General features: G+C 49.2%; 1 protein-coding gene across 1 annotated transcript in view, besides 6 other annotated features; it reads right to left on the reverse strand.

Moving 5' to 3' along the window:
• Positions 1–12,986, reverse strand: part of MYH9 (myosin heavy chain 9) — a 106,688-nt gene that overhangs the window by 65,412 nt on the left and 28,290 nt on the right. The window contains exon 2 of the mRNA NM_002473.6: positions 2,213–2,564. Within this exon, the coding sequence (NP_002464.1) occupies positions 2,213–2,545 (333 nt within the window). The 5' untranslated portion in view covers positions 2,546–2,564. The remainder of the gene's footprint in view (positions 1–2,212; positions 2,565–12,986) is intronic.
• Positions 6,285–7,014: an enhancer, noted in NCBI's record as "H3K27ac-H3K4me1 hESC enhancer chr22:36749021-36749750 (GRCh37/hg19 assembly coordinates)". NCBI's record gives its function as "activates a minimal SCP1, AML or CMV promoter by ChIP-STARR-seq in primed H9 embryonic stem cells {active_cell/tissue: H9 hESC(primed)}" and the evidence as "EXISTENCE:reporter gene assay evidence [ECO:0000049][PMID:30033119]".
• Positions 7,464–7,964: an enhancer, noted in NCBI's record as "H3K4me1 hESC enhancer chr22:36750200-36750700 (GRCh37/hg19 assembly coordinates)". NCBI's record gives its function as "activates a minimal SCP1, AML or CMV promoter by ChIP-STARR-seq in primed H9 embryonic stem cells {active_cell/tissue: H9 hESC(primed)}" and the evidence as "EXISTENCE:reporter gene assay evidence [ECO:0000049][PMID:30033119]".
• Positions 7,965–8,465: an enhancer, noted in NCBI's record as "H3K4me1 hESC enhancer chr22:36750701-36751201 (GRCh37/hg19 assembly coordinates)". NCBI's record gives its function as "activates a minimal SCP1, AML or CMV promoter by ChIP-STARR-seq in primed H9 embryonic stem cells {active_cell/tissue: H9 hESC(primed)}" and the evidence as "EXISTENCE:reporter gene assay evidence [ECO:0000049][PMID:30033119]".
• Positions 10,359–11,300: an enhancer, noted in NCBI's record as "H3K27ac-H3K4me1 hESC enhancer chr22:36753095-36754036 (GRCh37/hg19 assembly coordinates)". NCBI's record gives its function as "activates a minimal SCP1, AML or CMV promoter by ChIP-STARR-seq in naive H9 embryonic stem cells {active_cell/tissue: H9 hESC(naive)}" and the evidence as "EXISTENCE:reporter gene assay evidence [ECO:0000049][PMID:30033119]".
• Positions 12,386–12,455: an enhancer, noted in NCBI's record as "active region_18925". NCBI's record gives its function as "activates an Ori minimal core promoter by ATAC-STARR-seq in GM12878 lymphoblastoid cells {active_cell/tissue: GM12878}" and the evidence as "EXISTENCE:reporter gene assay evidence [ECO:0000049][PMID:35858748]".
• Positions 12,556–12,765: an enhancer, noted in NCBI's record as "active region_18926". NCBI's record gives its function as "activates an Ori minimal core promoter by ATAC-STARR-seq in GM12878 lymphoblastoid cells {active_cell/tissue: GM12878}" and the evidence as "EXISTENCE:reporter gene assay evidence [ECO:0000049][PMID:35858748]".

The raw sequence follows: 12,986 nt of genomic DNA on the forward strand, positions 1-12,986 counted from the left end.
CCCTGGGCTCAAGTGATCCTCCCACCTCAGCCTCTAAGAAATAGCTGGGACTATAGGCACGCCACACTATGCCCATCTAATTTTTTTATTTTTTTGTAGAGATGGGGTTTCACCATGTTGCCCAGATTGGTATCAAACTCCTGAGCTCAAGCCATCCTCTCGTCTTGGCCTCCCAAGGTCCTGGGATTGCAGGCATGCACCACCATGCCCAGCCTATAGTAACCTCTTCATGGCTTTTTTCCACTAGGTCAAAAACATTTTGAGGACTGTTTTATTCAGCCCAAAGTTCAAGGTGGCTAGGGCAACATAAAGAAATAAAGAGCTATTTTAGGAATAATAACAAGCAGATATTTCTTTCCCACTGGGGACAAAACCAGAAGGAAATATCTTTGAGTTGAACAGAGGAATTTGGGGTTGATATTGGACAGGACTTTGTGACCCCAGAGCCCGTTGCCTCTGGGATGCATAAATGCTCATCTCCCTGTCTCCTAACTTGGTGATGGACTGCGTTTCTGCATTTTCTTTCTTGCCAGAAGAAAGAAAATGACGCCCCTGATCTGCTGCATGTGCTGGCCCTTTGCACATGCTGCTCTCTGGACTCTCAATACACTTCCCCTTGGTCAAGCCTGGCAAGGGACCAGCACTAAAGTGCTGGACAGAGTCCCAGAGCAAGTCTTACTCTTGGTGGCTCACCTCTGCTCAAAGCACACTCCCTAGGGAAGTAACCCACACCAACAAGCATCCGTAAAGAACAAGATGGGCTGGGCACAGTGGCTCACGCCTGTAATCCCAGCACTTTGGGAGGCCCAAGCAGAAGAATCACTTGTGCTCAGGAGTTCGAGACCAGCCCTAGGCAACATAATGAGACCCTGTCTCTAATAAAAATATTAAAAATTAGCCAGGCGTGGTGGCACAGGCCTGTAGTCCCAGCCACCAGAGAGGCTAAGGTGGGAGGATCGCTTGAGCCTAAGAGTTTGAGGCTGCAGTGAGCTGTGATCATGCCACTGCACTCCAGTCTGGGCAACAGAGCTACTTTGGGAGGCTGAGGTGGGTGGATCACGAGGTCAGGAGTTCGAGACCAGACTGGCCAATTAAAAAAGACCCTGTCTCAAAAAAAAAAAAAAAAAACAATAGTAAGATGGCAGAGATACCAAAAATGGGCTTGGGGCAAATGGTGAAGGGAGAGGAGATCCAGTGATGCAAGAGGAACAAAGCAGGAAACCAGGAACTGGCACTCCCTACTTTAGAAGGAATCTACTACATTTTTAAAGTGCAAAAAGCTTATTGGAAAGAAATCAAAAGAGATAAAGATATTTTTAAAAATATCTTTTAAAATATTTCATTATTTTAATAATATAATAAATAATAAATAAATAAAATATTTAAAATATTTTATTTTAAGATATTTTTTAAAATATTTTAAATAATTAAGATATTTTATTTAAAAAAATTTTTAAAGATATTTAAAAAATAAAATGTTAAAAAAGAAGATTTTTTAAAGATATTATTAAAAATAATTAAAATTCAAAAAAACAGGCCAGGTGCGGTGGCTCGCGCCTGTAATGCCAGCACTTTGGGAGGCCGAGGCGGGTGGATCACCTGAGGTCAGGCATTCAAGACCAGCCTCGCCAACATGGTGAAACCCCGTCTCTACTAAAAATACAAAAATCAGCCAGGCATTATGGCAGGTGCCTATAATCCCAGCTACTCAGGAGGCTCAGGAAGGAAAATCGCTTGAACCCAGGAGACAGAGGTTACAGTGAGCCAAGATCACACCATTGCACTCCAGCGGGGGCAACAGAGCAAGACTCCGTCTCAAAAAAAAAAAAAAATTAAATTAAATTAAATTAAATTAAAAAAGAAGGAATCTACAACATTGACCTGAACCTTCATATTTCCACCAAAACTTGAGAACGAAGGCCAGTGGGTGGCCATCCCTCAGACAGGGCCATATTCTTCTCCCTACGTATGTTCTAAAACAGGCTTCCTGTTTTGCTTTTGGCTGCAAAGGGAAAAGAATAATGCTATAAGAACATCCCACTAGGATGTTCAGATGTCAAAGTTCAAGGATGTCACCCCAGCACTCCTTCAAGCCCCCTTCTCAACCAGAGAGCCAGGGCCCAGGCACGTGAGGGTGATGGGAAGACCCGCCCCCCCCCCCCACCTCGGAGCCCTCAGACCCAGCCTGCGGGGTGCCACGGCAGCCACTTACGTAGATGAGCCCTGAGTAGTAACGCTCCTTGAGGTTGTGCAGCACCGAGGCTTCGTTGAGGCACGTGAGCTCTGCCATGTCCTCCACCTTGGAGAACTTGGGCGGGTTCATCTTCTGGATGTCATCCTTGTTCACCTTCACCTTCTTCCCATTCTCCACCAGCTCCACGATGGCCTCTTCGCCCACCTCCTCCTTGAGGCTGGCTGGCTCAAAGCCACTCTTGTCGGAAGGCACCCATACCAGCTTCTTGGCAGCCCAGTCGGCCTGGGCCAGCGGATTGTTGATGAAGTTTTTATCCACATAGAGATACTTATCGGCAGCTTGCTGTGCCATGGTGACTTATAGCCAGGACCTAAGCGGGGAGGAGAAGGACAACACATTACATACAACTACGTCAGCCACACAAGATCACTCATGCTCACACCTCTTCTCTTTGCAAACTGTATAGGATTAAGACACAGTAAAACTCTATATAACCAGGCTGCACAACTTTCTTGCTCCACACTTTTGGGATAAAGATGTGCATCACTGAAAAAACAAGTTGGGCCCAGGACAGTGGCTCATGCCTGTAATCCCAGCACTTTGGGAGGCCAAGGTAGGCATATCACCTGAGGTCAGGAGTTCAAGACCAGCCTGGCCAACCTGGTGAAAACCCATCTCTACTAAAAATACAAAAATTAACCAGGCGTGGTGGTGCACACCTGTCATCCTAGCTACTCGGGAGGCTGAGGCAGGAGAATCGCTTGAACCCAGGAGGCGGAGGTTGCAGTAAGCCAGCTCACACCACTGCACTCCAGCCTGGGCAACAGAAAAACAAGCTGATAGCAGGGATTTTGTTAGCAACTAATGGTAAGGTGTATCGCCCTAGGGTCAATCCACAATCAAGAAAACTATTGTGCCAAATGAACATAACAAGAGTCTCAAAGACAGATGCAATTCAAGTCGCTATGCTACAGATACAAAGGTAGCAAAGTAGCCACACAGTTTGGGAGGATTTCCAACAAAAACAGGTTTCTAATCAGCCAAAAAACACAACTGACTACAACCCCACATAGTGGAAGTTTCCAGTTTAAAAAACTTGTTATTAGTTCATGAAGTCAACTAAGACAAGAGAAGAAAATAAAACATCAGTACATGTTGCCACCAGATTTTAATTCCATCTTGATAATACAGCCCAAAAAAAGCACAGAGAAAAGATGCCAGGTTCCAAGAAACATGGAGAATGCTAAGAGTGCTTCCCTTTGGGGACACTAAGGTCAAAAGTGACCCTCACAATTCATGAGCCAAGAGAACTTAAGTTCATGTGTGTTTGCTTTTTTCAAAACTCATTTGCAAAATGAAGATATAAAATAGGCTGGGGACACTGGCTCAGGCCTGTAATCCTAGCACTTTGGGAGGCCGAGGCAGGCAGATCACCTGAGGTTGGGAGTTTGAGACCAGCCTGACCAACATGGAGAAACCCCGTCTCTACTAAAAATACAAAATTAGCAGGGCGTGGTGGCGCATGCCTGTAATCCTAGCTGCTCAGGAGGCTGAGGCAGGAGAATCACTTGAACCCAGGAGGCGGGGGTTGTGGTGAGCCGAGATTGTGCCATGGCACTCCAGCCTGGGCAACAAGAGCAAAACTCCGTCTCAAAAAAAAGACATAAAATAACAATGCCTTATATATCTGTATGGTTTTATAGTTTATGAAATGCTTTCACACATATTTCGCTATCTCGAAAGGTCTTTGTAGTAACAACTCTGTAAACCAGGTAAGGTATATATTATTACCACCAATTTACAGATGAGGAAACAAGCTCCCTGGATGTAAGGGGCTTCTCCATAGTCATCCAGTCCTGTGGCCTTTCCACGACTAACACCATCGTTATTCCTGCTCAGAGGCGCAGGCTGGGATCACCTGAGGTGACTACCCTAGTGTAAAACTGACTCAGCTTGTGGCCACCAGAGGAGGCAGCCCAGAAGCTCACTGCCCAGCTCCCGCTGGGAAATCAAGGAAGATCAGGAAGGTTTTTTTTCCCTCTATGAGATCAAGCCCCCTCCCCTCAGGCCCCTGCAATCCAGGAAGTCCCCAGATCCAAACACGGAACACCATGGGCTTTTGTGCTTCCAGATTCCAAGAGGGACTTGGATCCCAAGGAGGCTGGGGGCATGGGAGGGAAAGAACAAAGGGAAAAATCTAGGCTGACCAGAACTTTTCATCTGGGCTCATTAGTGGTTTTCAGTCAAGGCCAAGGGGCTCCCCTGGACTCACTCCAGAAGGGGCGGTTTTCCAGGAAAAAACCTTTTTGCTGGCTCCCTTTCGCCAGGAGGGACACAAGTCCCAGGAACAGAGCTTGGCAGCATCACCAGCTTCCCCGGCCGGTGGCTCTGTTGACATTTCCCAACACAGGCAAACCCCACAGACCCTTGTGGGGGCCAGGGGGCACATCCACTCTGCAAGGACCACCCTGAGAGCAGGCCGGGCTCAGAATGAGTCAGAGCAAACAAGACAGGAACGGTGGCTGTGAACTGCCTGGCCGCCCCTCGTCTTTGCTGCGGGTCTGAGGTCTAGGGTCTATACCAGGAGCAGCCTCCAGGGCACCACCAGCTTATTTTCAGCTGTCTGCACTTCACCCTGGCCAGTCCATTCAAGCAAATCCAAGGTTTCTCCCTGCCAGGTAAATCCTAGTTGTTCTTTCTCCCTACCATGTGTCTAACCACTAACTAGTCAACAGGCACCCCTAGGGTCCCAGCACCCAGGCTCCCCAAAGTCTCCCCATCGCGCCCCTGCCCTGCTCAAGACCTTGCAGCAATCACAGAACACAGGTCTCAGGCTGCGGGTTCTCAGCCTTTTCATAGACCTCAAACCCACAAAGGATAACTCCATGAATAGCAGAGAGACTCACTTGAACCCCATGCCCCCAAACCCTAAGTGTGTTGCTGACCCCGCCAATGAACGCATCTGAGGACATCGGTGCCCCTCACGAGACTCCTACCGAGAGCAGAAGGGGCAGGGGATGGTTACTAAGTACCTCCCAGCACCACGCTCAGTTTATTCACCACCTCACCTAACTGGCAACCATCCTGGGAAAGAGCTGTCTCATCATCCCCAATTCATAAACTAGGAAACAGACTCAGAAAGGGCAAGTCACTTGCCCAGAGTTGCCCAACCCAGGCATGGAGTGGGACGCTAACCCAGGGACGCCTGGCTCCTGTGCCTGGCCTCCTCCCAGAACAATTGTGCCTGGGGTCCCTCGGAAGCCAGGCCGGCACTGGAGCTGGGCCCTAACTGTCCCCACGAGCTGAGTGTGATGTGGGGAGTGGAGAGGAATGCATTCCAGAGCGTTCAACAAATATTTGCCGGATGTTATCAGGTAGGCAGGAAGGCTGAGTGAGCCTTCCCAGTGTGGACCACATGGCCCGTCAAAAAGCAGGCACGTTAGAACTCAAGATTTACTCCCTCGGCCCGCTACTGTCGGCGCAAGCTTGCAGCCCATCAGCAGTGGCAGAATGAGCTCTGACCGTCCTCAAACGCTGCTTCGCCCCAGCAATGCCAACCCTAACAGCAAAGAACCCATCTGGTAGCCTGGCTTCTCGGCAGCCCATGGGCACCCTCAGGCTGCAGGGCCCAGGCACTCAGACTGCCCTGGAAATCCGCTCTGGAGGGTCACAAACATCACACCAGCTGGCGGGGAGGAATTCCACCCAACCAACTGCCCTCAGAACCTCACCCTGTCCGACTTTCAGGCTTTGGTGGGAGGGCAGGGGACAGTCACAGGCCAGTGGTGTCCACTTGAAGACTAGCAGAGGCCTGGCCACCAAGCCACAGTTCTTGCAAGAGGAAGAGAGAATGCATCCCACCAGGGACACCCCCCGCCTCCAAGGACCAAGGCTCCAGCTGAAGGTCAGAGCCCCAGCTTGCTGGGCACCTCCCTCCCAGAACTTTTCATTAAGCAAGGCTGGGCTCTGCTCAGCCTGGCCAAGGACAGGGCTATTTGGTTTCAGCAACTCTGCTAGAATGACGTGGGTGAGCAGCGGCGCCAAGATCAATACACGGGTTAGACCGGCAGGGAGAGCCGCAAAGGTCAGGATAAACAGTGGAGTTTCTATGAAAGCCCCCTCGGCCACCTGGGCAGGATCAGCCACATTCAATGATGGGGAGCCACAGGGCTGCAGCAGAGCTGCTGTTTCCACTCGTATCCTGTGCCTCTGGGGGCGTGTGTGTGTGTGTGTGTGTGTGTGTGTGTATAAGTGTGTTCAGTCAGGTTAATACTCAGACCTCTCCAGGATGCATGTGGGTTAAACCACCTTATCTATAATCCATATGCCTCATTTATGAATGGGGGATAGTAAAGAGCTGCTAAAAATTCAATAAGGGGCACGACAGCGGGATACCCGGGAGGTAGTCTATCAAACACAGCAGCCAGCGTGCAGCCACTCCTTCCTACTCTGTCCTGGGGCTGTTAAACAGCCTCTTTGAAACTTTTTTTTTTGAGACAGAGACTCACTCTGTTGCCCAGGCTGGAGTGCAATGGCAAGATCTCAGCTCGCTGCAACCTCCACCTCCCAGATTCAAGCAATTCTCCTGTCTCAGGCTTCCGAGTAGCTGGGACTACAGGCGCCCACCACCACAGCCGGCTAATTTTTGTATTTTTAGTAGAGATGGGGTTTTAGGTCAGGCTGGTCTTGAACTCTTGACCTCAGGTGATCTGCCCGCCTTGGACTCCCAGAGTGCTGGGATTACAGGCATGAGCCACTGTGCCCAGGTGAAACTTTTTAAAACTGCCCATAATAAAAAAGTTTTTGAAAATAAAAGAAAAATAATCCCCTAAATTCCTGAACTCCCCCCACCGCCTCTCCCCGCCTTGCAAAATCAGTTTTCTCTTTCTTTTCGTGGTCCTTTCTGGACCTGGCTCATGGAAACACTTGATTTTTAACTATCAGGCAGAGGACAGAGTTTCAGATTTTGTATTTTCCTTACTTACTGTGACTATTTTCCTGTAGGGCTAGGATTTGCTTGGTTTTTGTTTTTTGAGATGAAGTCTTGCTCTGTCACCCAGGCTAGAGTGCAATGGCACGATCTCGGCTCACTGCAACCTCCATCTCCTGGGTTCAAGCGATTCTCCCACCTCAGCCTCCCGAGTAGCTGGCACTACAGGCGTGTGCCACCACGCCTGGCTAATTTTTTGTATTTTTAGTAGAGACGGGGTTTCACCATGTTGGCCTGGCTGGTCTCAAACTCCTGACCTCATGTGATCTGCCTGCCTTGGCCTCCCAAAGTGCTGGGATTACAGGTGTGAGCCACCACACCCAGCCTCAGATTTGCTTGTTAATCAATTTTATCCAACCCATTTTACAGATGATGCAGTGGTGGCCCTGAGAGAAAGTAACTCTACTCGGTCACACAAGCTGGGGAATGAGGACCTGAACCCAGAACTCCTGACACCAAGGCCTCACTGTCCAACATTTAATGGCTGCAGCATATTCTCAATATTCTCAAGTGTTTTTTTCTTTTTTAAGGACCACTTATAAGGTTTTTTTACCCTCTTATCTAGTATACCATCTTTATTTTTTTTTGAGATGGAGTCCCGCTCTATCACCCAGGCTGGAGTGCAGTGGCGTGATCTCAGCTCACTGCAACCTCCGCTTCCCAGGTTCAAGCGATTCTCCGCTGCAGCCTCCCGAGTAGCTGGGATTACAGGCATCCGCCACCACGCCCAGCTAATTTTTGTAGTTTTAGTAGAAATGGGGTTTCACCATGTTGGCCAGGCTGGTCTCAAACTCCTGACCTCAGGTGATCTGCCTGCCTCGGCCTCCCAAAGTGCTGGGCTTACAGGCGTGAGCCACCGCACCCGGCCGTAGTGTACCACCACCTTGAGATACATTCCCAGGAGTGGAGTTACGGGAGAAAAGAACATACAAACACTTCTACAGTCCTGGGATGTCCCATCCAATTGTTTTCCAAAAGGGCTGAATCGACATGCACTGCCATTTGAGCAGGATGTACATGTGAAAGCAACCAACCAGCATCATCATCTACCACTTAAAAAAACAAAAAAACAAAAAACAAAACACACACACACACACACACACACACACACACACACACACACACAGAGGAAAGATCTCCGTGGCTCAGAAAGTCCCGAGCTCCTGTGGGAATGGGCAGGCCAGCAAGAGGTTCAGAAGGAAGCAAGCAGCTCTCGCCCCTGGAGATGAGATTGGATCAGGCTGAGGCCATCCCCCAGCGCTTTCCTTCCCGCCGGCTTCCTGCGGGTGCCAGTCCAACTCCAAGAAACCCAAGCAGTTGCCTTTTTAGGCCATAATCGAGCGGGACACAACCAGAGGCTAAATTAGGACTCTCAGGAAATGATGAAACTGAAAGTAAATAGGTTGACCAAAAACATCTTCTTTCAACCCAAAATGTAATGCCTCAATTATTTGCCTTCTCCCCTTCCCCACAAACATCATATGGATCTTTTATTTCTCCCTGTTTTCCCAGAGAATACTCTCCCTCCCTCCCTCCGTTTCTCTTTTTACTTATTTGTGGGTTTGTCTGGAAAATGAACAGCTAGCACCTTAAAGACAGAATGTATTCTACTCTCAGATCTTTGGTTGAAACGTTGAGAGCATTTCCACTCCCAGACAACGAGGGCTGATGTAAACCTTTCTGTGGGCCAAGTTCTAGGCTGGGAGTGTCCAAGTCATCACCTTCACCGTAAAGCTGCATAGACCAAGGACCTGCTAGGAAGCGCTGCATGTTCTCACTCAATCCTTGCAATAATTTCATGAGGCACATACATACTCATTTTACAGGTGGGGGAAATGGGGCTCAGACAAGGCACAAAACCTAGGGTCAGACTCAGCCCCGTGTGGCTTCAATGCCCTGCTCCGTTTCCCCCTTAGCTGCCTTACTGGTGAGGTCAAGGGGGCTACAAGAAGCAAACAAACAGAGAACCCCCCCTTTATTAATTAAGCAGACATTGATAATGCCACCTCAAAGCTGTAAACCCCATCTCCCCATGCTGGCTTGCACAAGGGACTCCATCCTTCCGACCTAAATTGCTGGGTGCTAAAAGTAAGAAAGAAGGTGGGAGTGTGACCTTGGGTGAGCCATTTGAGTTCTCTGTGCCCAGTCTGCCAGGAGTTGACCTAACCAATCTCCAATGGCCTTGGGCACGCCAAGGCTTCAGTTCAGACACCCCAGCGGCCTCAGCCCAGACACTGGAAGCCCTATTCCAGCCTCACCACTGATGTATGCAAGCAGCCCCTCTGTTTGTTTTTTTCCATCCCCACCCCCATCCTGGAGAACACAGGTGAACATGTCCTTTCTCTTTCTACTTGCGGCCGTTGGTTTTGAGTTAAATAAAACTATCGAAGTAGCTGGCTTCCATTGTTAAGAAAGATTCTTTGGGCCAGGCGTGGTGGCTCATGCCTGTAATCCCTGCACTTTGGGAGGCTGAGGCGAGTGGATCACCTGAGGTCAGGAGTTTGAGACCAGCCTGGCCAAAACCGTGAAACCCTGTCTCTACTAAAAATACAAAACTTAGCCAGGCGTGGTGGCGCGTGCCTGTAATCCTAGCTACTAGGGAGGCTGAGGCACGAGAATCGCTTGAACCCAGGAGGCAGAGGTTGCAGTGAGCTGAGATGGTGCCACTGCACTCCAGCCTGGGCAACAGAGTGAGACTCCATCTCAAAAAAAAAAAAAAAAAAAAAAAAAAAGATTCTTTGAAAGCAGCTGCTATAATAATGTAGAATTTTTCAAGCTCATTTGATTCACTTATTCAATCAACTAATACATAGAGAATCCACATGCAAAAAAATCATGACAAAGGCATAAAGATCCCAGGGGGTTTCTAATGAGGTCGCGCGGCAGGACGGACATGAACCTAGGTGACTAGGTGGAGTGTCCACCTGGGCAATGTGGTAGAGTAGACAGAAAGCAAGCTCCTGGGCTTCCTTCTGTCCTGTTCACTGCTGAATCCAACACCCAAACGCAGTAAGCACCCGCTAGACAGATCTGCCATGTGGATGAATGCAGAAACTCCTTGCTGTGTGGCCTTCGGCCGGTGCCACCTCTCTGGCCTCAACTGTAAATGCAGATAATATTTTATGCTGCCTTCCCTGCCTTGCAGGGCTGCTTAATGCAGCATGTATTCCTTAAATACACATAATGATGAGACAGGACACCTACCATAGTGGAACATTCATGCAGAGAGGAAGAACCACGTCAACAACCGGCTCCACCACTGACTCAGCGAAGAAGAGGAGAGGAACATGCAACTTGCCGTGGGAACAAAGAGAAAGGGACACTTCCTTGGACACTCAAGCGAAGAGTGTCATGGAGGATATGACATTTAAACTGGGTCCTGGAAGATGGGTAGAATATTGGCAGGGAAGGGAAGAGATGGTGGAAAGGTATCCCGGGCCGAGGGAGAAAAGCAAGAGCCAACGTACAGGAAGAAGGTACGATCGCTCAATAACCACATACAAAACGATGCCACGGCACTATGGCTATCTGGGGCCAGAGAATCCTTTGTGGTGGGGCTGTCCTGTGCCACGTGGGGTATTTAGCAGCAGAGCAGCACCCCTGGCCTCTACCCACTAGATGCCAGTCGCACCCTGTCCCCAGTTGTGACAACCAAATACCTCTCCAGACATCACCAAAGGTGGAAATTGGGGGTTGCGGGGGAAGACAAATCACACCCGGTTGAGCCCACTGATTGAAGGGGTTCGTGTGAACAAACGCAGCACTATGAAGCCAGACCTCTCAGTCGTCATCCTCCCCCATCTCTGAAGTGCACGGGCCAAATCTCCTTAACAAAACAGAAATCCTCAGGGCAAAAGGATTCCCAGGACCCCATAAAAATGGCCATTATGGATGGCATTGTCACCAAGGAATGACAGCTCCTTGTAACATACTGTATTCTAAGAGATCTGACCTAGATTCTCCTGCTGGACTGTGCTTTAAAGATCCTGAATACCCAATTTAAAAGTAAACCAATCAACCAGGCAGAAGAGACTGATGTGCCTCCCCAGGCAGGCAAGAAGCACCTTCAGAACCTCCAACACGGCAGCTCAGCCTGCGACTCATAAGCAAAGTCACCAGCATCAAAGGGTCCAGATGATTAACGGAAGACAAGCGGGAGCCACATTTTGGAGGCTGGGGGTGGGAGCTGTTGACACAGCTGTGCCAGCTCACCCCACCCTGGGAATCCCATCAGGCTGGAATGCAGTGGCGTGATCTTGGCTCACTGCAACCTCCACCTCCCCGGTTCAAGCAATTCTCCTGCCTCAGCCTCCCGAGTAGCTGGGACTACAGGTGCACACCGCCACACCCGGCTAATTTTTTGTATTTTAGTAGAGATGGGGTTTCGCCATATTGGCCAGGCTGGTCTCGAACTCCTGAGCTCAGGCAATCCGCCCGCCTTGGCCTCCCAAAGTGCTGGGATTATAGGTGTCAGCCACCGCACCAGGCCCAAACGCTATTTATTGAATAGTTTTGGCAAATCAATCTGGATTAGACCCAGGAAATCCATGGCTTCCACCACTGGGACAGCCGGATTATTTCCCGCCCAGAGCTCTCCCCCACACCCCTTCATATATTAATAAATATATTTAAACACCTACCAACGAGCCATCTCCACCTGGTGGATGCACCATCACACCTGAACTCCCCCACCATCTCTCCCCAGACCCATACCCTCTTCTGGGTGTCCATCTCTGGGAGACACCATCCATCTGGCCACCCAAGACAGTCACCGTAAACTCCTCCCCAGCCCTCCGCCAACACCACTGCCCGTGCCCTGTTCCAGTCCAGGCCCACAGGCCCTCCCTTCTGGACTGCTCCAACTGCCTCCCTCCTGGCCTCCCCTGCCACTTCTACAGAACTCCTTTCTGATGACTCACAAATTCAAATTCCTATTTATATGACTTCCTATTTCATTGATATTATTTGATCAGTTCAAAATGGTTCGACAGCTCCACACCTTCACCAGAATAAAATCTGCATGCTAAGCAAGCCCTCTAGGACCCCACCCATTCATCTTGCCCCTGCCCTTCCTTTTGCCACAGTCATTCCCAGCGGTATATAATCAATTCCCCAGTCACACTACACTCTGCTCAGGCCTCCAGGCCTTCAAAGAAGGCAGAGAAGTGTCCTTTGTATTAGGAACCCTCTCTGAGATCAAAGCTCAAACGCTCCCTTCTCTAAAGACTTTTTGCAGCAAAAAGATGTCTCATATCTATGGCCCTCCCGTCTGTGCTCTGTACTTGTTCCACTGTAACCAAACAGCTAAATACTCATTATTTGTAGTTTTATTTGAGGACAGGAATTGGGTCTCATTCATCAATTCCAAATGTCTGGCACAATGCCTGGCCCAGAGCAGGTGCTCAGTTAAAGTGTCCTGAATGAATAAATGAGAAACAAGGCCAAAATGAGGAAGAAAGACTTAATGGGGAAGGTCCCCAGAGGCTGGAAAATCCCCTTGGGCTGTGGCTGTGCAAAGAGGGACAGGGCTGGAGAGCTGAAGGTAACAGGAGAGCCAAGTTGAAACCACACACGCGTAAGGGTTATAGCCACCTAATTTGTTACAAACACCAAACCATTTATGGACTAATTTTTATATCCTCAAAACAAAAAGGGAAAGAATGCATACTGGGGCTTTCAATCTACAAAGAGAAATAGGACTGAGGATAATTTACTGGTTTTACATATAGTTCAACCATCTCTGTTTTCTAGAACCTTCTAGCACCCCCTGATTAACCAGTGTAGAGGCACCTACCACCTACT

This window comes from Homo sapiens, chromosome 22 (assembly GCF_000001405.40).
Source record: "Homo sapiens chromosome 22, GRCh38.p14 Primary Assembly".
NCBI classification, from domain to species: Eukaryota; Metazoa; Chordata; class Mammalia; order Primates; family Hominidae; genus Homo; species Homo sapiens.